At 40.4% G+C, this 23,885-nt stretch overlaps 2 long non-coding RNA genes across 4 annotated transcripts in view, besides 1 other annotated feature; one reads left to right on the forward strand and one right to left on the reverse strand.

The window, feature by feature from the left end:
- Positions 1 to 4,381, reverse strand: part of LOC442028 (uncharacterized) — a 78,658-nt gene extending 74,277 nt beyond the window's left edge. Inside the window, exon 1 of the long non-coding RNA NR_037597.1 lies at positions 4,253 to 4,381. This is a non-coding gene — a long non-coding RNA (uncharacterized LOC442028). The remainder of the gene's footprint in view (positions 1 to 4,252) is intronic.
- Positions 328 to 513: a silencer, noted in NCBI's record as "fragment chr2:95609034-95609219 (GRCh37/hg19 assembly coordinates)". NCBI's record gives its function as "represses an EF-1alpha promoter that drives an FKBP-Casp9 reporter gene in an ReSE screen in K562 erythroleukemia cells {active_cell/tissue: K562}" and the evidence as "EXISTENCE:reporter gene assay evidence [ECO:0000049][PMID:32094911]".
- A 249-nt stretch (positions 4,382 to 4,630) lies between the features above and the next one.
- Positions 4,631 to 19,465, forward strand: LOC105373487 (uncharacterized). 3 transcript variants are annotated; one of them, XR_923074.3, is made up of 3 exons: positions 4,631 to 4,911; positions 11,880 to 11,976; positions 12,251 to 19,465. It is a non-coding gene; the product is annotated as an uncharacterized LOC105373487 (long non-coding RNA). The 3 variants fall into 3 exon arrangements; XR_923075.3 differs by having other exon boundaries at positions 4,631 to 4,961; positions 12,251 to 12,468; XR_007087135.1 differs by having other exon boundaries at positions 4,631 to 11,976; positions 12,251 to 12,468.
- The last annotated feature ends 4,420 nt before the right edge of the window (positions 19,466 to 23,885 follow it).

Genomic DNA, 23,885 nt, shown 5'->3' on the forward strand with positions numbered 1-23,885 from the left:
TGAAAAAAAAAGTAGCCGTTAAATGCACATGCAACCAACACTCAAGCACCTAAATACAGATGCAAATATTAACAGGCTTTAAAGGACAGATGGACTGCAATACAATAATAGAGTACGTCAACACTCCACTGTAATCAACACCCCACTATCGTGAACGGACAGATCATCCAGACAACAAAACATCATCAGTTAAACTGTACTCTATACAGAATGGACCTAACAGACATTTACACAGCCTTTCACTCTGCAACGGCACAACGCTCATTCTACTGAGTGGCACACATCGATTATTCTACAGGACAGACTATGTGTTAGGCCAAAAAAAACAAGTCACAACACATTTTTTTTTTTTTTTTTTGAGGTGGAGTCTTGCTGTGTCTCCCAGGCTGGAGTGCAGTGGTGCTATCTTGGCTCACTGCAAGCTCCGCCTCCCGGGTTCACGCCATTCTCCTGCCTCAGCCTCCCAAGGAACCCGCCACCACGCCCAGCTAATTTTTTGTATTTTTAGTAGCGACAGAGTTTCACTGTGTTAGCCAGGATGGTCTCGATCTCCTGACCTTGTGATCCGCCCGCCTCAGCCACCCAACACATTTTTAAAAACTGAATTCATATCAAGTATCTTTTCTGACCACAATCGCATAGTATTAGAAATCAATAACAGATAGAACTTTAAAAACTGTACAAACATACGGAAATTAAAATACACGCTCATGAACCGATAAACGAAATGAAAAACAAAGAAAATTAAATATTTATTGAAACAAGAATAGAAACATAACAAATCCTGTGGGATGCAGCAAAGGCAATTCTAAGAGGAAAAGTGCATAGCTATAAATGCCTACATCAGGAAAGTAGGAAGATCTCAAACAGCCTGACAGTACACCTCCAGTAATGAGAAAAACAAGAACAATCAAATGCTAGAATTAGCAGAAAAAAATATCATAAAAATTAGAGAAGAAACTTTAAAAAACAAACAATACAAAAAGTCAATGAAACAAAGAGCTGGGGTGTTTTAGAAAAAAAATCAAAATTGACAAGCTTTAACTAGATGAAGGATAAGAAAAAGAAAACGAAATCATAAGACTTACAATCGATAACCCTGAAATACGAAGCATTTTAAGAGGTTACTAAAAACATCTATATACAAATTGAAAAATCTAGAAGTGAATAAATTTCTAGACACATAACAAATTCCCAAGATAGAATGATTAAAAAAATGAACAGACCAATAATGAGTAATGCAATTAAAGCAGTCATATAAAGTCTCCTGGCAGAGAAAAACACAAGAATCATGGTTTTCCTGCTGAATTACCAAACATTTTTAAAAGAGTTAATATCGATTTTACTCAAAATATTCCCCATAAAATGAAGAGAAAGAAAGGCTTCCAAATTTGTTCTATGAGGACAGCATGACCTTGGCACAAAAACCAGACCAGAACACAACACAGAAAGAAAACCACAGGCTTTCCCTGATGAACAGAGGTGCAAGAAATCCTCAACAAAATACTTCAAAACTGCATTTGACAACACAATAAAAAGATGATCTGCCATGACCAAGTGGATTTCATCCCAGGAATATGAGGATGATTCAATAAACACAAATAAATATGCGACATCACATTCAGCAATCAAGAACAAAAACCCTATAGTCATTTCAGTAGACGCTGAAAAAAATAAAAATCAACATTCCTTCATGATAAAAACTCAACAACATGAGTACAGAAGGAACATATCTCAGCGCAATAAAGGCCATATATGACAAACCCACAGCTAACATAATAAGGAAAAGTTAAAAGCTCTTCCTCTAAGATCTGGAACAAGTGTGGCTACTTTTACACCACTTTTATTCATCATAGTACTGGGAGTCCTAGCTAGAAAAATTAGACAGGAGAATGCAATAAAAGGCATCCAAATTGGAAAAAAAGGAGTCAAATTGTCTGTTTCCAGGTGACATGAACATATATAGAAAGAACCCTAAAGATTCCACAAAAAACCTACTAGAAATAATAAATTTAATCAAGTTCCAAAATACAATATCAAAATATAAAAATGAATAGTACACCAATGCACCAATAGTGAAATACCTAAGAAAGAAATCAAGAAAGCTATTTCATTACAAAAAAAATGGTATCTAGGAATAAACAACCAAAAAGGCAAGAGATCCCAAAATGAAAACTTCATAAAACATAGATGAAAGATATTAAAGCAGACACAAGTAAATGGAAAGATATCCCATGTCCATGCACTAGAAAAATGTTAAAATATATATATCACCCAATGTGATCTACAGAATCAATGCAATCCGTGTTCGATTACAAGACATTCTTCATTGAAATTGAAGAAGAATCTTAAAATTCACATGGAAGTTCAAAATACCTCAGATAGACAAAAGAATCTGGAATAGAAAGAAAAGCGGGAGGCATCACACTACCTGATTTCAAAATACACTGCAAATCTATAGTAAGCATGGTACTATCAAAACAGTATGGTACTATCAATAAAAGGGGTGGGAGAGAGAGAGGTGAACGAATGACAGACAAGTGAAACAGAATAGAGAAATCAGAAATAAATTCAAGCGTTTACGGTCAATTCTTTTTTAACAAAGTCCCCAAGAACACACATTCGGGAAGGACAATCTCTTCAATAAACTGTACTAGGAAAACCCAACACCCACATGTCCAAGAATACATCTAGGCCATTACCCTTACCGTATGCAAAAATCTACTCAATATAAAGATTTAAATGCAGGACCTGAAACTATTAAACTACCAGAGAAGAAAACAGGATAAACGCTTCATGAAATTGGTTAGGACAAGGAATTTTCAAATAGACATCAAAAGCACAAGTAACAAAAGCAAAGATGTAATTACATTAAACTTAAAACCTTTTCTGACACAGAGTTAGCAATCAGTATAATGAAGACAGAACCCAGAGAATGGAAGAAAGTATTTGCAAACTATGCATCAGGCAAGAGGTTAATACACAAAATATCTAAAGAACTCAAACTACTCAAAAGTGAAAATACAAATAATCTTATTTTTAAAAATCTACCCAAAACCTTTGTCCCCCACCATTTCCCCACCTTCTTTTCCCGACCGCATTTGGCCCTCTCCCTCTCACCACCATTTCTCTTCCTCTACCTATCCCCAAACTTTCTCACCGTTTTCTCCCCACCATCATTTTGCAAAGCCTTCTCTACGCTCCCGCTCACCACGCTTTTCCCCATCCATCTACCCAAACACTTTCTCCCATTTTTTCCCACCGTATTTTCCCCTTCTCTCTGGCCACCCTTTTTCCCCCTCCCGATGTCATCACGCCCTTTTGCTCCTTCAGCTACGCAAAAACATTGTCCCCCATCTTTTCCCAAAACCTTTTCCCTACTCCTGCTGCTCACCATCCTCTTTTCCCCCTTCATCTACCCAAAAACTCTTTTCCTCATCTTCTTTCCCCCCGCTCCTCCTTGCCACTCTCTTTCCCTTCTCCATCTACCCAAGAACATTTCCCCACCATCTTTTCTCAAGGCCTTCTCCCCACTCCTGCTCACCTCCCTTTTCCCCCTCCATCTACCCCCCAAAATTTCCCCATCTTTTCAGTCTTCCCCCCCTTCCCACTCGTCCTCTTCTCTCCCCTATCCTGCTTGCCACCCTCTTTTTAGCCCTCCATCTACCCCAAACTATTTTCCCATCTTTTTCCCAACCTTCTTGCCCTGCTCCCTTCTCGCCACCCTCTTTTCTCCTCCTCTTCACCCTCTTTCCCCCCTCCATCTACTCACTTTTTACCTACCATCTTTTCTTTCTCCACCATCTTTCTTTTCTGCCACTGTCTTTTCGCAAAACCTTGTCTTCCTCCCGCTGGTTACCCTCTTTTTCCTTCCCCCACTTGCTATCTTCTTTTGCTCCTCTATCTACCCAAAAACTTTTCTCCCCACCCTCTTTTCACAAAACTTTCTCTCCCTACTGCTCGCCCGTTGTCCCCCCTCACCACTCTCTTTCCTCTTCCCAATTGCCACCCTCTTTTCCCCCTTCATCCACCCATAAACTTTCTACCCACCGTCTTTCTGCAAAACCATCCCTCCCTCCCGCTCTGCACCGTTTTTCCACCTCCATCTACCCAAAAACTTTTTTCCCCACCATCTTGTCCCCATCGTCTTTTTGCAACGCCTTCTCCTCCTCGCTATCCTTTTTTCCCTTTGCACTAACACCACACTCTCTACCCACCTCTATCTATCCCAAAACTATTTTCATTCTCCTACCCCTTCAGCCGCGCTGCAATCTCCATCGCCACCACCAACCGCAGCAAGGCGAGTTGCGCCGCAGTGCTCAACAGGAAAGTACGGAAACCTAAAGAAACCCTAACCTCTCTTCGGCATTACATATATACTGAGGTTTTGCGCATGATGGTTCCTGGACTGCATGTTCTGATTGGATGAGAAAAAAACTCCAGGCTTACTCGGATTGGACTTTATTATCATGTTCTGATTGGATGAGAGCAAGTCTTAAGATAACCAATCACAGCATGAAAATAAAGTCCAATCAGAGTAGGCCTAGAGGTTTTTCTCTCATCCAATCAGAACATGTAGTCCAGGATCCGTAACCTCAGTATATAAAGCATGCGGAGGGAGCCACACGTCATTTTTGGCTTTTCTGTATTGGTGTGCGGGGCTGCTACGTGCTCGGCTTAGAGAATTAGAAGGGTCCGTCTCTTTTTGCCCACTGGAGTCTGGCACTTGGGGCACTGCCTCCCTGTTGGTGGTGGTGGTGATGGAGCTGTAGGAGGGAGGCTAGCAGTGGGAGCTTCTCCTGCTGGGCTGGAAGACAAGCAGAAGGAAGAGGCACCACCGCATGCTGGAGGCTGGAGCCACGGCGGCTTGCCTCGCTGCGGTTGGTGGTGACATCGGAGACCGCAGCTACGGTAATACAAAGCCGTGTCCTCGGCTCTGAGGCTGTTCGTTTGCAGATACAGTGAGTTTTTTGCATTGTGTCTGGAGGTGGTGAATCGGCCCTTCACAGAATCTGCGTAGTATATGGTACCACCACTGCTAATAACTGAGACCCACTCCAGCCCCTTCCCTGGAGCCTGGCGGACCCAATCCATGGTATAGCTACTAAAGGTGAATCCAGTGGCCTCACAGGAGAGTCTCAGGAACGCCCCCAGGCTGTACCAAGCCTCCCCCAGACTCGACCAGTTGCACCTCAAACTGGACACTTGCAAATAAAGAGACATCCTGGTTAGAAATTGCCACACATATTCACTGTTTCTCTCACTTATATCCACTCACACTCTAACTCCCTAGTTTTCCATGAATCACCTTCTAAAATAGCAACAAGGAAAACTCAGCTCAGCCCGAACTCCATGGTGAGTCCTCTGTGTTCGGTGCTGATCACCAAGTGGAAATGCCTTGGAGTCCCGGGGTTAAGGCTCCTCTCTCAGAGCTGCAGGGTCGGGTTTGGGTTGGTTTTCATCAGTAGAGGGAGGGCACTAATTTCGTATCTCCAACTATATAGCAAGTGCTAGGGTGGGACACTTGAGAAGTAGGCTGTATCCAGATAAGAAGCTGTTACCCGCAGAAGTTGGCTGGTAATTATGGTATTTGGAAAATACGCTGTCTTATTAATGAAATTGTGCTGTGATAAACATTTTGCCTTTATCACCCTATTTCATTTTAAAATAATTGTGTAAATTATGTTCTGTAGGAGTCAATATTTTTTCATTTACAGATGTGGAAGTAAATCCACACACGGAGGGGGCTCTGTGTGTATCTAAGAGCTCATGTCTAGGATGAGTGAACCCTGGTATCTAGCCCTGTGCTTCTCATCACCGGCTCCGACTGCTCCCTAAGCCAACTCCAGTACAAAGCTGGATGTGTCTAGTGTTTTTTTTCAGAGCCCACTTTCCGTAGTAAGAGCATGTGTGGTTTTGCTGCACTCCAGCACTCATCTGAAAATACGGGGAAAACTAGGGTCCAGGCACATTAATTTTCAGGTACTTCTGACATTTAACATATTTGTTCTGTCTTTCTATTACTCCTTGTCTAAGGTTCCATTTGTTTGCTTGTAATACAATTTATGAGGCTTATTTGAAAGATAATGCATTTCACATATTTAAAATGTACAATTAATAAACATGATAGAACTGTCATCATTATCAAGAAAGTGTACATGGGAATTCTTCTCAACATTTCCTCTTGTTCAGCTATATTCCTCCTCCTTTCCCCTTCCCTTCTTCTACCAGTTTCCCGGGCAACTACTGATCTTCATTATTTTATGTTAGATGCATTTTTATTTATCAGGATTTATAACAATGAAATAACATAGTATACTTACTGGTTTAGCTTATTTTACTCAACACAAATACTTAGATATTTTAGCTTTTTCTTGTGTGTATCAGGCATTTATTTATTATAAATGATAGGTAGTATTACAGTGAACACATTTATCGTAATTTGTTTTCGTATTAAGCACCTTAACAATATTTGCATTTTTTAATTATACTTTAAGTTCTAAGGTACATGTCCATAATGTGCAGGTTTGTTACATATGTATACATGTGCCATGTTGGTGTGCTGCACCCATTAACTCGTCATTTATGTTAGGTATATCTCCTAATGCTTTCCCTCCCCCTCCCCCAACCCCACAACAGGCCCCAGTGTGTGATGTTCCCCTTCCTGTGTCCAAGTTTTTTCATTGTTCAATTCCCACCTATGAGTGAGAACACGCAGTGTTTGGTTTTTTGTTCTTGTGATAGTTTGCTGAGAATGATGGTTTCCAGCTTCATTCATGTCCCTACAAAGGACGTGAACTCATCCTTTTTTGTGGCTGCATAGTATTCCATGGTGTATATGTGCCACATTTTCTTAATCCAGTCTATCATTGATGGACATTTGGGTTGGTTCCAAGTCTTTGCTATTGTGAATAGTACCGCAATAAACATACATTTGCATGTGCCTTTATAGCAGCATGATTTATAATCCTTTGGGTATATACCCAGTAATGGGATGGCTGGGTCAAATGGTATTTCTAGTTCTAGATCCTTGAGGAATCGCCACACAGTCTTCCACAATGGTTGAACTAGTTTACAGCCCCACCAACAGTGTAAAAGCCTTCCTGTTTCTCCACATCCTCTCCAGCACCTGTTGTTTCCTGACTTTTTAATGATCACCATTCTAACTTGTGTGAGATGGTATCTCATTGTAGTTTTGATTTGCATTTCTCTGATGGCCAGTGATGATGAGCATTTTTTCATGTGTCTTTTGGCTGCATAAATGTCTTCTTTTGAGAAGTGTCTCTTCATATCCTTTGGCCAATTTTTGATGGGGTTGTTTTTTTCTTGTAAATTTGAGTTCTTTGTAGATTCTGGATATTAGCCCTTTGTCAAATGGGTAGATTGCAAAACTTTTCTCCCATTCTGTAGGTTGCCTGTTCACTCTGATGGTAGTTTCTTTTGCTGTGCAGAACCCCTTTAGTTTAATTAGATCCCGTTTGTCAATTTTGGCTTTTGTTGCCATTGCTTTTGGTGTTCTAGACATGAAGTCCTTGCCCATGCCTATGTCCTGAATGGTATTGCCTAGGTTTTCTTCTAGGGTTTTTATGGTTTTAGGTCTAATATTTAAGTCTTTAATCCATCTTGAATTCATGTTTGTATAAGGTGTAAGGAAGGGATCCAGTTTCAGCTTTCTACATATGGCTAGACAGTTTTCCCAGCACCATTTATTAAATAAGGAATCCTTTCCCCATTTCTTCTTTTTGTCAGGTTTGTCAAAGATCAGGTGGTTGTAGATGTGTGGTATTATTTCTGAGGGCTGTGTTCTGTTCCATTGGTCTATATCTCTGTTTTGGTACCAGTACCGTGCTGTTTTGGTTACTGCAGCCTTGTAGTATAGTTTGAAGTCAGGTAGCGTGATGCCTCCAGCTTTGTTCTTTTGGCTTAGGATTGTCTTGGCAATGTGGGCTCTTTTTTGGTTCCATATGCACTTTAGTTTTTTCCAATTCTGTGGAGAAAGTCATTGTTAGCTTGATGGGGATGGCATTGAATCTATAAATTACCTTGGGCAGTATGGCCATTTTCACAATATTGATTCTTCCTATCCATGAGCATGGAATGTTCTTCCATTTGTTTGTATCCTCTTTTATTTCATTGAGCAGTGGTTTGTAGTTCTTCTTGAAGAGGTCCTTCACATCCCTTGTAAGTTGGAAACCTAGGTATTTTATTCTCTTTGAAGCAATTGTGAATGGGAGTTCACTCATGATTTGGCTCTCTGTTTGTTATTGGTGTATAAGAATGCTTGTGATTTTTGCACATTGATTTTGTATCCTGAGACTTTGCTGAAGTTGCTTATCAGCTTAAGGAGATTTTGGGCTGAGATGATGGGGTTTTCTAAATATACAATCATGTCATCTGCAAACGGACAATTTGACTTCCTCTTTTCTTAGTTGAATACCCTTTATTTCTTTCTCCTGCCTGATTGTCCTGGCCAGAACTTCCAACACTATGTTGAATAGGAGTGGTGAGAGAGGGCATCCCTGTCTTGTGCCAGTTTTCAAAGGGAATGCTTCCAGTTTTTGCCCATTCAGTATGATATTGGCTGTGGGTTTGTCATAAATAGCTCTTATTATTTTGAGATACGTCCCATCATTACCTAATTTATTGACAGTTTTTAGCATGAAGGGCTGTTGAATTTTGTCAAAGGCCTTTTCTGCATCTATTGAGATAATCATGTGGTTTTAGTCTTTGGTACTGTTTATATGCTGGATTACGTTTATTGATTTGCATATATTGAACCAGCCTTGCATCCCAGGGATGAAGCCCACTTGATCATGGTGGATAAGCTTTCTGATGTGCTGCTGGATTCGGTTTGCCAGTATTTTATTGAGGATTTTCGCATCAATATTCATCAGGGACATTGGTCTAAAATTCTCTTTTTTTGTTGTGTCTCTGCCAGGCTTTGGTATCAGGATGATGTTGGCCTCATAAAATGAATTAGGGAGGATTCCCTCTTTTTCTATTGATTGGAATAGTTTCAGAAGGAATGGTACCAACTCCTCCTTGTATCTCTGGTAGAATTCAGCTGTAAATCCCCTGGACTTTTTTTGGTTGGTAGGCTATTATTGCCTCAATTTCATAGCCTGTTATTGATCTATTCAGGGATTAAAGTTCTTTCTGGTTTAGTCTTGGGAGGGTGTATGTGTCCAGGAATTTATCCATTTCTTCTAGATTTTCTAGTTTATTTGCATAGAGGTGTTTATAGTATTCTCTGATGGTAGTTTGTATTTCTGTGGGGTCGGTGGTGATATCCCCTTTATTATTATTTACTGCACATATTTGATTCTTGTCTCTTTTCTTCTTTATTAGTCTTGCTAGCAGTCTATCGATTTTGCTGATCTTTTCATAAAACCAACTCCTGGATTCATTGATTTTTTTTGAAGGGTTTTTTGTGTCTCTATCTCCTTCAGTTCTTCTCTGATCTTAGTTATTTCTTGCCTTCTGCTAGCTTTTGAATGTGTTTGCTCTTGCTTCTCTAGTTCTTTTAATTGTGATGTTGGGGTGTCAATTTTAGATCTTTCCTGCTTTGTCTTGTGGGCATTTTGTGCTATAAATTTTCCTCTACACACTGCTTTGAATGCGTCCCAGAGATTCTGGTATTTTGTGTCTTTGTTCTCATTGTTTTCAAAGAACATCTATATTTTTGTCTTCATTTCGTTATTTACCCAGTAGTCATTCAGGAGCAGGTTGTTCAGTTTCCATGTATTTGTGCTGTTTTGAGTGAGTTTCTTAATCCTGAGTTCTAGTTAGATTGCACTGTGGTCTGAGAGAGAGTTGGTTATAATTTCTGTTCTTTTACATTTGCTGAGGAGTCCTTTACTTCCAACTATGTGGTCAATTTTGGAATAAGTGTGATGTGGTGCTGAGAAGAATGTATATTCTGTTGATTTGGGGTGGAGAGTTCTGTAGATGTCTATTAGGTCCGCTTGGTGCAGAGCTGAGTTCAATTCCTGGATATCCTTGTTAACTTTCTGTCTCGTTGATCTGTCTAATGTTGACAGTGGGGTGTTAAAGCCTCCCATTATTATTGTGTGTACTTAACCCATTTTCTAAACACGTTTAAACCTCATAAATCCTGTTATCTTCTCATCCCCAGCACAGCTGCCTCCTTCCTCGAGGTTTCTCACACTCTCAGTATGTGGATTTTCACACTGTGTGTCTTGCACTGTAATATATGGCCGTGTCCTCAGATCTCACGCTGCTCAGCTCCACATAGGCTGTGTCTGTAGACATGCCTGCGGTCATGGTGACTCTGCCCTGGAACTTCTGTGCATATATTGTTTCACCATCTTCAGGATCAACATGTCCCATCCACTCAAGCCCTTTTCCAGGGGCCTGTGGCACCCAGTGCATGTAGTGGAAGGTGAAGGTGTAGCTGGAAGCCTTGGGTAGACCTTCACTAAGGCCCCAGGTTTCCTCACCTCAGCCCCAGACTGCACTTGCTGGACCTGGGACTGGGCACCTGTGGAGAGGACAGAGGAGTGAATGAGACCCCACTTAACTGGACCCAGTCCCGTCATCAGCCATGGAACTTAGAATTCTCTTACCTGTAGCTGCTGCCACCAAGAGGAGGATCCTCCAGGTCCAGTCCATGGTGATGTGCTGTGCTCTGGGGACTTCTACAGGGGAGAGATGTGGTTGTTGTGTGATGCTCTCTGGGCAAGGACAGATCTGTATTTACCTCGGTAAACACCAGTGCATTTGCATATTCATGAGGCAGCTACCTATTTCGTAGCTCAAGCCCCCCAACCTGAGGAAGAAGTTAGGTGACACACGGACCACGCCACAGTGGGATGCTGAGCTCCATGCCCTGTACTTTGTTTAATGATATTTGTCCTCTGACATGCTCAGAAGTCCATGAAGACAGAACTCGTCTCACAGAAAACCACAATCTCCCAGGACATTGTCCTCAATGTGATTCCTTGTTCCTATGGAACTCTGACAACCTGAACATTTCCTGGGCCTTCACCTCTGCACCTTAACTTCTAGGATGAGTGTATCTCCCAGTAGTAACACCCATTGAATTAATAAAACCACCACTCAATTCCTAACTATAAATACATTTGAAAAGACTAGACATTTCTCCATTTAAATATGGTTTGCATTAAATTATTGGGTTAGGTATCGGCTCCATATACAATAAAATACTTAACGGTACATCAGTACTTGCTAAATTCTTATTTAAATTTTAGGTCATTATTGCTTTGAAATAAGAAACATTCAATTCCTGAGAGAAAACCCCACCCTGTCCTCCTGTGCACCTGCTCCAGGGCTGAATCCTGTGCTGGGTGCGCCCTGAGGACCCCCCTGAAGCTCAGCTCCTGCCCTGCATAGAAGTTCCTGTCTGGGCTCACAGAGAATTCTCCACCCAGCATATCAAGCCCAGTATGAAGTGGCTATGCCTTGGCTCAGAATGAAGTTTTAGTGGCAGCAATTGCTTCTCCCACCATCTCTTACAGTAGGAAATAGGCCTTACAGTAGGAGTAGGCCTTATCCTACAGGGAGACCTCAGCACAGCAAGCAAGGGATCACTAAGGCCACGAGGGAGCCCCTTCCCTGGAGCTCCAGGTGCACTGATACGGTCCAGACACATGTCGAGTCCAGGAACTGATGGGGACTTTGGGGCAGCCTCTTTTTTAGGATTCTGTGTTTGAATATCCCATCAGATTCTAACTTTACACACAGACCCTATGTCTCAAAGCCCCCCAAAACACACAGTGGCATATTTGCACAGTAATGGGCCTCGAATTTGCCCTCCTTCATAGTGTCTTCCCAAAGAAAGGTGCTTCCAACACTGACCTTAGTCCTGCTTATGTTTGTTGTTGTTTTGTTTTTTCCAGAGCTAAAGCAAGCTCAGTACTACTGGTGATTTGGAAAGTGCCTTCATATTGTTTTTGCCAGTTCTCACCTGAGAACCCTGCAGATGCCCCATGAGAGGTAAATCTAAGGCCATTTAGGGAGGGGCTGTGATCTTGGTTCTGAAGCTGTTGGTCTCAGAGGCCTGTTGGTCTCACTTCCCTGTCCTTGATTTGTTCTCTCCTACCACCTTTGGTTTCCCTACATTCTAGTCGTTAGACGGAGTCTGTGCCTTGCCACACTTCTCTCTTTAATCCATATTAATCCTAGTGGTGAGGAGGTGATGTGGTGGGCAGGGAAGCAGTAAATGTTCTTGACATTGAATTCCAATGATTTCTTGCTGTGCTTTCTCTAGGCTGTGCCCTTTACAAGGAGTCTCCAGTGATACAGCTGATTTTCCTCCATACTCTAATCCCCTTCATGGCTGCAGCATCAACAGATTGCTCTCTTGAATCTGACCCCAGTTGTTTTATTAATTATACCCCTTTTTGTGACACAGGAAGGCTAAGATGAAGCTGTCTTGGATGGAAAAGAATTCGTTCTCCTCACATGGAATAAAGATCTTGAAAAGTATTTTTTCTATGTAGGGTCTGTCCGGACAAAGTTCTGGGCATATTTATCAGAGAACAGTTCTCCTGATATCAGAGCCATGAGGGAATCTGTTTGGATTCTCATCTTGAGAACCCAGAAGTTTCTGGAGGGAAATTTCATAAAAGTGTGGGGTGCGTGGCCCCCAGGAGTTCTTACCCTACCCTATCCACACTTGTCTGCTAGGCATTTATGGAATTATCATGTAACTGTTTCCACCAGCTTGTGCTTTCAATGGAAGAATCACCCAATTTATAAATTTAGAAAAGAAACTTTATTTCTGATAAATGGGTGAAGCTGCAGGATGGCCATCTTAACAGGCCGGAAAGCAAAGCCTCCCACAGAGACAGTGAGCAGGCACTTCAAGAGAGGGAAAGGTGAGAAATGAGTTCATGCAAATGGATTGGCCAAGTGCACATACTCAGCGGGCTATAGAAGGAGCTATGAATATTCACATGGTGGGCAGGCTGTCATGCATAATAAGCAAACACAGATGTTACATGCATTTCATGTTTGCTTTGGGGCGAGGACTTAAGAACTAAACAAATTACAGTTGGGCCGTGTACATCAAAAGGGCTTTGTGCAGAGGCAGAAGGACACACAGTGCACAGCCTCCATAATTTGGCAAGGACAAGTCCATGGTGAGTGGTCTCTTCTCAGGAGAAAGTTACTGAAATCAGTCCTTCTCCATTCAAAGCTCTTTTTATGGCTGTGGAACGGGCACAGTTACCCAGTGTCTTGAGTTCCATGAGCTGCAAATATTTTAATATTCTTATCGTAGGACCAGTGCTTTTTAGCTGCTAGAGAAAATGAAAAGCCCTGTGGCAGTTACAACATAGTCTATTTTTTAAGTGTAGGAGTGAGTGACTTAATTTTTGCTTGATGTGGACTTGGGTCTTGTTTATAATTTGGTATCTTATTGCCACAACAAGATTGTTCCATCAGTCTGATGATCTCTATTTTAATGTCTTTCTAGTTTTTGGGTCTTGGTTTTCCCTGCAATTTGATTTCTTAAATAGATCCAAGAAGTTATTGATAATCAATTTTCCAGGCTTTCATTGTTGTAGGAATGTAGGGGATGACTGACATGCTCTTTACATATTAAAGTGGAAAACAGAAGTAGCTTCAGAGATCACCATTGACCTGACAAGCAGCAGGAATCTCATCTCGTTAAGTGTAAGTGGCACCACAGATGTAGCTGAACATGCAGTGACACAGAAGACCCACACCACAGAACACATGAAAAATTTTATGATTCTGAGGTTTTCTCCAGGAAGCTGGAACTCAGGTGGTACTACAGAGATGGACTCAGTTATCTCTCAGGTGATACTATGTTTTGGAAGCTTATTTCCACTCCTGCACTGGACTCATTAGCTGCACCTCGACCAGCACACCTAAAACAGAAACTCTCAATAATTAAGCACAAAACTCACCAATAATAAAGCTGTCCCCAGAGAAGGTGCAGAGCAGGGAACTCTGCTTTTGGGAACATGCTGGTGTGCAGGGAGTGTCAGGAGCGTGACCCATTTCCTTCTGCTCCCCCTGCTGGCTTCACAGACAACTGCATCCAGGAGCTTTATGTTGCAAAGTATATAAAATATGTTATAATTGTAGAGAAATGTAATACACAGATTAAGGAATGAGGAACGTACATGAAATTAAACATAATATTATCACGGATAAGACAACAAACAAATATTAAAAACCTGTGTGTGTACGTGTTTGAGATAGTATTCTTGTAAATTAAATCATAATTTGTTTATAAAGTCCTTCAACTATGTACAAAATCTTTGCCTTTGATTGCCACAAAGATGAAGAAGGATGTGGCACCAGGACTCCAGGGCCATGCTAGTGATTTCCCCTCCTATCTCCTGAGGACACGGTGCTTCCAACTCTGAGGATCAGGATGCTGAAATTGGCTGTGTGAGAAGAGAAAATGGGATTTTCTGTGGGAACAGACTAGTGTGAATGTAACTTTCAAGCAAGTAAGTTTATTCTACCATGAGACACACAGCTATCATGCTGACTGTGTGTTGCTTTTGACATTAATATGATATTATCAGTATTGGGTTGTTCCATGGAAAATGACCAATTGTCTCAGAATTAACTGGAGTCGTTTTCATTTCAGTTTTTTCACACTTCTAGCTAAATCACCTAATTTTACTGTGTTTGAGCTTGGAAAGTTTCAGGGCGTGGGTTACAAATGATGGAGTGGAAGGTCTCCCAAGAGTTAGATGTGGTTCTGCTAAAGGATGACCCAGGATTTGTCCAGAAGCTCCCCTCCTTGTCTGTCCCAGCACTTGCTCCTCAGTGCGCCCCATCCTGCCAGAGTGCTGAGCTTCTCTGCGTTCCTGGACAATGCACGTCTGGGGCATCTGCTTCCTAGATGTGCATACATAGGGCGGGCTGCTCTTCATAATGGTTGAGAGGGAGCTGGGCCTGGATCCACCCAGGTGGCCCTACCACTGTGAACTGGGCTTCCTCCCAGCAAGGAGACAAGGTCAGTTGAGTGCCTTCACTTCAGACAACTACTAGGAGGTGATTTTAGTCAAATTGTCACATCCTTTGTCTATGTAATCCAGCAATCATGCTTTTAAGTGTTTATCTGACTGCAAAAGTAAGTCCACAAAGAAAACTGCACATGAGTAATTGCAATAGCTTCATTTACATTTTCCCAAAACTATAAACATTCAGAAAGTTTTTCTGTAGGTGAAAACCAAACTGTGATAAATTCATATAATGGAATTATATAGCAATGATAAAGAAGTGCTAGCAAACCATGAAAACACATGAATAAATCTTAAATGCATATTGTCAAGTAAAATAGTCTGATAAAGCTATACAATATATAATTTAATTTATTTGATCTGGAGAAGGCCAAACTTTAAACAAAGTGAAAAAAATTATATTTGCCGGCAATTTGGGGAGAAGGTGAGAATAGATTAAAAAATAGAAGACTTTAAAGGATGATGAAACTATTATGTATAATATTGCAATGGTAGATATATGATGTCATAAATTTGTCAAAATCCACAGACTATACAGCATGAAGGCTAGATTTTACTTTACAAAAAATAAAAGATTAGGGACCCCAAGATGGAATGCAGATCGTACAGAAAATATCTGATGTCCTTATTAATGCATGAAACAACTTTGTCGAATAAAGTATGTGAAAAAGGCTGCTAAATCACTTTAGAAATAGTGACACCAATAAGACTAAAAAATAAACCATGTCAGCACTGTCCTCTAGTTGATGATGATGTTCCACAAGGAGCACAGCTTACCAATTGTGATTCCACGCTACAAGAATCCTAGAATTGGACAACACGGGGTATAGATGGTGTGTGGTGGGAGGGGGTTCCTCACACTTGGAGTGGGAGGTTACAGACAGCAAGGAAGAACGGTGAGAAATGTCCATGTAGTACTGGATTAGAGTGAAAGTGCTAGTAATTTTGTATGATTGACATAATCTGCATGCAATAAATTAAACGAAAATACTTCTTTGAAGAAAGTGCAAAATAGGCTATGACCTAAATAACTTTGGAAATGAGGGAATTCTGAAAGTCTAAAGTGTAAGTAAACTGCACGTAATCACTGTACTCTAGTGGATAAACATGTTTCCGGCAGAGGTACAGCTTCACAATTTTGATTCCGCTATGCACGTTTCCTGAAATTGTGCTGCTAAGTAATACTATGGAATATGGTGGGATGGAGTTCCTCATTTGGCAATGGGTGGTGATTGACAGGCAAGGCAGGCAGGCTAGAAATGTCCATGTGGTATTGTAATTGGGTGGAGACAAGAATGTGTTCTCATTTTTAATGTGTTACAGGTACGGAAGACTAGATATGTAAATAGTCGAGATGTATCTCTAAACGTGGGTTAATAAACACCTGCACATTTTCTAAGCCATTTAGTTGAGAGGTCCTTGAGGCACTTACATCCCACTAACAGTATATACACCCAACTTCACAATTCTCTATTTTAATACCATTCTTCAACACCAGAAGCCAGTAATCTTCAGAAAAACAGCAGATTCTATGTATGGAAAAGATAATACGGAAAATAAGCTTAGGATTTCTTATAATACCAGAAAATAGGGAAGTGTTCAAAAACAAAAGGAGGAGATGTCATGTAAGGATACAGGATCCAAATTAAATGAACTCCAAGCACATAAAAAAAACTGTGATGATTTGAGCAAAAGCATAAATAATGAAGCATGGATCTTCCTCATAGTATAAAATAAGCATCTTTAAGCCAATACTATTATAATAGATGAGTAAATAAAATGTGAAAAGAAGGACGAATCTTCCTTACAGAGTTATTCAAAATATTTTAGGCTGATAGTATTCTCATCATGTAGGTGAGGTTTAAACACTCGTGTTGATTGTGGTCTGAGATTATAGAGATGGGAAAAAAAATCACTGCTAGTTTATTTTATAACCAGTTTTTAGAAATAATGCCAAAAACATGGTCTGTGAGTGAATACAATTATTCATGGTAATGTATCCAAATTTGCAAACACACATTTTTCTGCAATAAACACTGATAAGCAACTAAAAAGACAAATCACAGACTTGGAGAAAATATTTTCAAGTAGCATTTTTGTTAAATAATTTCTTTTAATTCAGTAAAGAATTAAAAGAATTGATTTCTATAATGAATATGCAAGTAAACTCAACAACATTATATAAAAATTGTTAAATATAAATTTTTCATTAGGGATATGAGCATTGAAACAAAAATTAGATTCCATTGCTCACCTATTAGAATGGTTAAAATGCACAATCCTCATGGTGAAAAATGGCCGTAAGAATGTGAAAAAACAAGAACTAATTTGCATTTATGTTGGGAATCCCAAATGGTGCATGCACAAAATGAAATACATTTTGACTTTTTTTTTAACAGAGATAAAAGAGTTGAAATATGATCTAGTGGCTGTGTTTCAAAATATTTAAAACACTGATTCAGAAATTGATGTTTACACAGGAAACCAGCTTCTGCTCTCTGACATATATCACCTGGTTTGTGCCAAGAGCATTAACCCTGGGAGCTCCTCCCAAAAAAATGGTTGTGCACAGGGGAGATGTTAAGCTATGGCTGCTCCTGGGACTCATCGGAGATTCCTGATGGGCATCTGTAATCAGGAAGTCATCAACAGCCTTGCCGGACTTAACTTGCTCCACAGGTTAACTAGGAAGCACCACCAAACTCCCACATTTCCCCATCACTAGTTGTAAGACTGGCATCCTGGCCTGACAGTGTCTACAGCCTCACCCAGCCTCCTGTGTGTTTTTCTGCCTGCCTTACTTACATCTCACTTTGGGACAAATAAGAAATTTTTTAAATAAACTTTTCTAATCTAGAGACCTCAGTGGTAGGCACAGAAACACAAATATAGAGAGGCTCCCAGGGAAACTGTTCGATGGAGAGGAAGCCACAGACCCTGAAGGAAAGCGGCCCTTGACCTTCAACTGCACCTGCCCTGGGGATGCCCCTAACTTCTGTGGGAGTGAGTGCCCTCTGCAGCCCAGGCTCCTTCCTTCTCTCTGCAGGATATTTTGCGTTTTGGCTGACACTGGTGTTCCCTCACTTGGTACCTTATGTACAATAATACGAGGCCATGTTCTCAGCTCTGACTGTTCATTCACAGGTACAGTGAGTTCTTGGCATTGTCTTTGGAAATGGTGAATCTGTCCTTCACAGATTTTGAATGGTATAACTGATTCATCATACTTCGTATTTACTGCTCACTCCAGCACCTTCTCTGAAGCCTGGTGGACTCAGCTAATTCAGTAGCTTCTCATTCAGTAGCTACTAAATTTGAATCCACGGGCTGCACAGAAGACTCTCAAAACCCTCAGGCTGTCTCAGGCCTTCTCCAGACTCCACCAGCTGAACCTCACTTGACACCTTCACATACATAGGCATGGTTAGAAACTGCCAAATGTATCCACTGTTCCTCTCACTCACATCCACTTATACTCACTATCTCTAATTCTCCATGAATAAGCTTTTAAAATAGCAACAAGAAAAATCTAGTATAGCTTAAAGCCCATACTGAATCTTGTGTTCAGTACTGATTACCAAGTGGAAACACCTGGAAATCCCAGGGCTGGTACTCCTCTCCCAGAGATGCAGGACCAGAACTGGGCTGTTTTTTATCAGTAGAAGGAGAACCCAATTGGAATGTCTCCTACTACATAGCAAGCTCTAAGGTGGGATGCCTTAGGATAGGACAGGGCCCAGAGCAGATGTGAGACTCCTGGAGTTTAGTGGCAACAAAAGAGTTTAGAGAAGCATAATTACTTAATATGTGATTGTGCCATGAAAATCACTTAGCAATATATTTTACATCTTTTTAACATTTTTAAAAATATATCTGCATTAAGCAAACTTTAAGAGATATAAAGGGTGAAATAGAAAAAAATACAATAATGGAAAAATATCTTAATATCTCACAGACCCCCACAGTATCTTAGCAGAAATCGGAGGCAGTGGAGGTCACCCCACTTGAATGAGAAAACAGCTGAGTTTGTAAAACTGCACTTGGCTTCTCCACAGGCTTTGAGGTGTGCAGGACCAGCCACTACCCCAGACTCAGGCATAGCCCCAGTCTCTGCTCTTCAATTTACACAACTATACAGGTTAATAATATATTTCAGAACTTCATAATCACACATACACATACACATACACACATATGCCCAGTACTTACAGGTACATAGGGAAATACAAAAATGAACACATCAAATACCAAAACAAAACCTGAATTTATTTACTACTGTTATAGTTATTGAATTTAATTGAAATTATTTTGTTTTACACTATGATGTAGTGCAAAATAATGTTTTTCTATGTGATTGTTTCTCTATCCCAATGCCAATAAACAAATATATCTAAATGCATGTTTTGGTAAAACTAAATGTAAATGCCATTCTTGCCAAATACATTAATTAAATGTACATAGTATTTATGCATAAACTCTGTGTTGGTTTATTTGTCATTTACATTTTTGGTGTATATATAAAATACATATACATATATATACAATGTATATATCATATATACACATATTATATATATGTATATATTTTATATATATGTGTGTGTGTTTGTGTGTATATATGTATTTTGAGATGGAGTCATGCTCTGTAGTCTAGGCTAGAGTGCAGTGACACAATCTCGGCTCACTGCAACCTCCACCTCCTGGGTTCAAGCGATTCTTGTGCCTCAGCCTCCTGAGTAGCTGAGATTATAGGTGCCCGCCACCACACCCGGCTAATTTTTTGTATATTTAGTAGAGACAGGGTTTCACCATGTTGGTCAGACTGGTCTCAAACTCCTGACCTCTTGATCCACCCACCTCAGCCTCCCAAATTGCTGGATTTACAGGCAAGAGCCACTGTGCCTGGCTGACATAATTTTTAAATATCAGTCAATTATTAATACATGTAATAACCAATAAGATAAACACCTTTAAAATTGTATTACATTATTGGTTAAGTTCACATTGTATTTTTTATAAAACTCAGGATAAAATACCTAATGCTAGATGACGAGTTGGTGGGTGCAGTGCACCAGCATGGCACATGTATACATATGTAACTAACCTGCACATTGTGCACATGTACCCTAAAACTTAAAGTATAATAATAATAAATAAATAAATAAAATTAAGAAAAAGAAGAAATTAGGTTTGTTTTTGACAATTGTTTTTGCATGAATTTTCAATACAAATTCTAGATGTTTATTTGCCAATACTCCTGGATGCCAGAGAACATCCAGTAATATGGAACTGAAATCAGCCCAGGATTCCCAGAATGCACTCACAATGGCAGCTTGCTAGATTGTCATCTGGCAGTGTTTCAACACATTAGGAATTTGGACTTCATCATCAAAGCACTAGTGAGTCCCAGGGATGAGCACACAGGAGGCAGCAGGAGCTGCAGAGCCCACTCTGTGGTACTTAGGGAAGAGACGGGATGGGGTGGGGTGAGTCTGAAGAACTATAAAAAAGGGTGAGGAGGACGGAGAGTCTACAGGTAGATGAGCATGTTCTAAGGATAACTGTTACCCTACTAAACATGGTTGGCTTCAGTGATCATGAAGAGAAGTGAACTGATTCACCAGACATGGAAGAGAGAAAATAAAAGGACTTGCTGTTTCCTTGCCAGGAAGCTGAGGAAGACAAAAGGCAAACAGAAGAAGGAAAAGTAGAGAAACAGTCTGAAGAGCAGAACATCAGAACCCAGCGAAGACAGAGGAACTGAGCATTTAAGGTGGTGTTTCAACTCCCCAAAGGCAGATGAAAGGAAAAGAAACTCAACACCATGCATATGCTGTGTTACAGTTAAAAAGGCATTTACAAGAGTGTGACGGACACAGCACAGAAATCAAAAACCCATGCATAGAACAAGAGTTTAAATTAGGCATACGCAATTTCTTATTATATTATCAAAATCATACTGAGTATTGCTAGTATTAGTATTGCTAGTATTGTTCTAAAAATATGAAAGATCAAAAGTTGAATTAAATCCCTCTTCTAAGTTAATGATTTGTAGTTGAAAGAAACCATAGATTACAAGGAAGAAATGGTGAGAGCTCCCGAGAAAACTTTTGCTTGACCAGCTCAGGAATCGGCAAGATCAAAAAGCAAACCGCACCCTCCCCAGGAATCTGATATGAAGCTGCCTCCTAAGAGAACCCTGGTGTCCTGAGCAATTCCCTGGTGGTTGCTGAGAGCTACATGGTGGCCTGAGCACTCCCCGTTGGCCCTGAATTCCCCCCTGGTGTCCTGAGTGCCTCCTGACAGTCTTGTGTGCCTTTAGGTGGTCATGTTACCCCTGGTGGTTCCTGAGAACCTCTTGGTGGTCCTGCGTGTTTCTTGGTGGTCTAGAATCCACCATCGTGATTCTGTGTCCCCTGCTTGTCCTGAGCCCCCTGGTGTCCTCAGTGCCCCCTGGTGGTTCTGAGCACACCCCCTGGTGTCTTCAGTACCCCCTGGTGTCCTGAGCGCCATTTATTATGAGGTCCCCTCCTGTCTCCCTGCAGGGAGGTTTGTGTCTGGGCTCACACAGATGTCCCCTCACTGTGTCTCTCACAGTAATACACTACCTACTCCTCGGCTCTCAGGCAGATCATTTTAAGGGAGACTGTGCTGGCAAGTCTTGTCCCTAGGAATTGTGAATCTTCTTTGTACTGACGCAGGGCATCACTGAGAACTTTCACTTGAATCACTCACTGCTACCATCCACTCCAGCCTCTGTCCTGCAGCCATCTGGGCCCAATTCATGCTGTAGTCAGTGGAGGTGAATCTTGATGCTTTGCAGAAGAGGCGCAGAGAACAGCCAGGCTACTTTGCCAAATAAAACAGTATAGATCTAGCAAACCTTTAAGGTTTTCCAGGAATTTGGGGAGAGGATGTGTGGAATAGGTGAAACACAGATGCTTTTTAATCACAATGAAACTATTTTTTGTGATAGCCAATGATGAACACTTGGCATAAATAATTTGTGAAAACTCAGAATTTTTTGAGACAAAGTGTTAACCTAAATGCATAACAGCATAAAAAGTATCTAGCAGGTCATGAAACACTGCAGGAAATGAAAGCTGTGTGAAAACATCTCACAACTACAAAAATGTTTGTTTGAACTAATTTCACTGAAGAAGGTGGGTCATAAATCTCTGACACAAGTAACTTTGGAAAGAATTCAGTTTTCTGTTTGGAAAATATAAATAAGCTGCACATAAGCACTGTATTCTAATTGATAAACACACTTCCAACAAGCATCAGTTAAACAATTCTAACACAATTTGTGTATCTTGAAATTATGCACTAAGTAAATTAATGTCATATGGTAAGAGAGGCTTCCTCACCTTTGAGTGTGGGATTATGGACAGGCAAAGAAGGAAGGCTATGAATGTCCATGTGGATCACAGTAGGGTGAAGACACCAGTGTATTCTTATGTTTAATGTAATATGGATACAGAAGTTTAGATACATAAACACTTCAATTTTTGCCAGTAAATAGTATATGTATATATTTATGGGTACATGAAGTACTTTGATACAGCATGAAATGCATAATAATCACATTTTGGTAAAGGGGTTATACATCCCTTCAGGCATTAATCCTTTGAGTTACCAACATTGCAATTGTACATTTTTAGTTATTTTATTTTATTTTATTTTATTTTATTTTTTGAGGTGGAGTCTCGCTCCGTCACCTAGGCTGGAGTGCAGTGGTGCAATCTCAGCTCACTGCAAGCTCCACCTCCCAGGTTCACGCCATTCTCCTGCCTCAGCCTCCCATGTAGCTGGGACTACATGTGCCCCCCACCACGCCTGGCTAATTTTTTTTGTATTTTTAGTAGAGACAGGGTTTCACCGTGTTAGCCAGTATGGTCTCGATCTCCTGACCTCGTGACCCACCCATCTCAGCCTCCCAAAGTGCTGAGATTACAGGTGTGAGCCACTGCGCCCGGCCCATTTTTAGTTATTTTAAAATCTACAATTAAATTATTAAGGACTACACTTATGCTGTTGTGTTATCAAATATTAGGTTTTATTCATTATCTCTAACTACCTTTTGTACCCTTTTACCATCCCCAATAACCCCCATCAACCACAGACCTTCCCAGCCTCTGGTTACCATATTTTTACTCTCTCTCTCCACGAGTTCGATTGTCTCAATTTTTACCTTCCAGAAATAAATGAGAGCATGTGAAGTTTGTCTTTCTCTTCTGGGCTTATTTCAATCAATATAATGAACACCAGTTTCATCCATGTTGTTGCAAATGACAGAATCTGACTCATTTTTATGACATAATATTAACCCATATCCTATATGCACCACATTTTATCTATCCATTCATCTGTTGATGGACACTTAGGTTGCTTTCAAATTTTGGTTATTATAAAAAGTGCTATAACAAATATGATAGTGCAGATATTCCTTTGACATATTAATTTTCTTTTTGGGGGGCACATACACCAGCAGTAGAACTGCTGATCGTATGATAGCTCTATTACTACTTTTTTAAGGAAATTCAAAACTGTTCTTTATAATGGTTGTACTAATTTAAATGCCCACCAAGTTTATGAGGGTATGAGGATTCCCTTTTCTCCATATCCTCACCAGCATTTGTTATTGCCTGCCTTTTGCATAAAAGCCATTTCAAATGGGACAAGATGATATTTCCTTGTATTTTTCTTTTGCATTTTTCTGATGATCAGTGCTGTAGAGCACATTTTCATATGCTTGTTTGCCATTTGTAAGTCTTATTTTGAGAAAAAAACTTTGCCTGGTTTTCATTTGGTTTACTAGATGTTTTTCCTGTAGAGTTGTTTGAGATCCTTGCATATTCTCAATATGAATCCTTTGTCAGATGGGTAGTGATG

Source organism: Homo sapiens, chromosome 2 (assembly GCF_000001405.40).
Source record: "Homo sapiens chromosome 2, GRCh38.p14 Primary Assembly".
NCBI classification, from domain to species: Eukaryota; Metazoa; Chordata; class Mammalia; order Primates; family Hominidae; genus Homo; species Homo sapiens.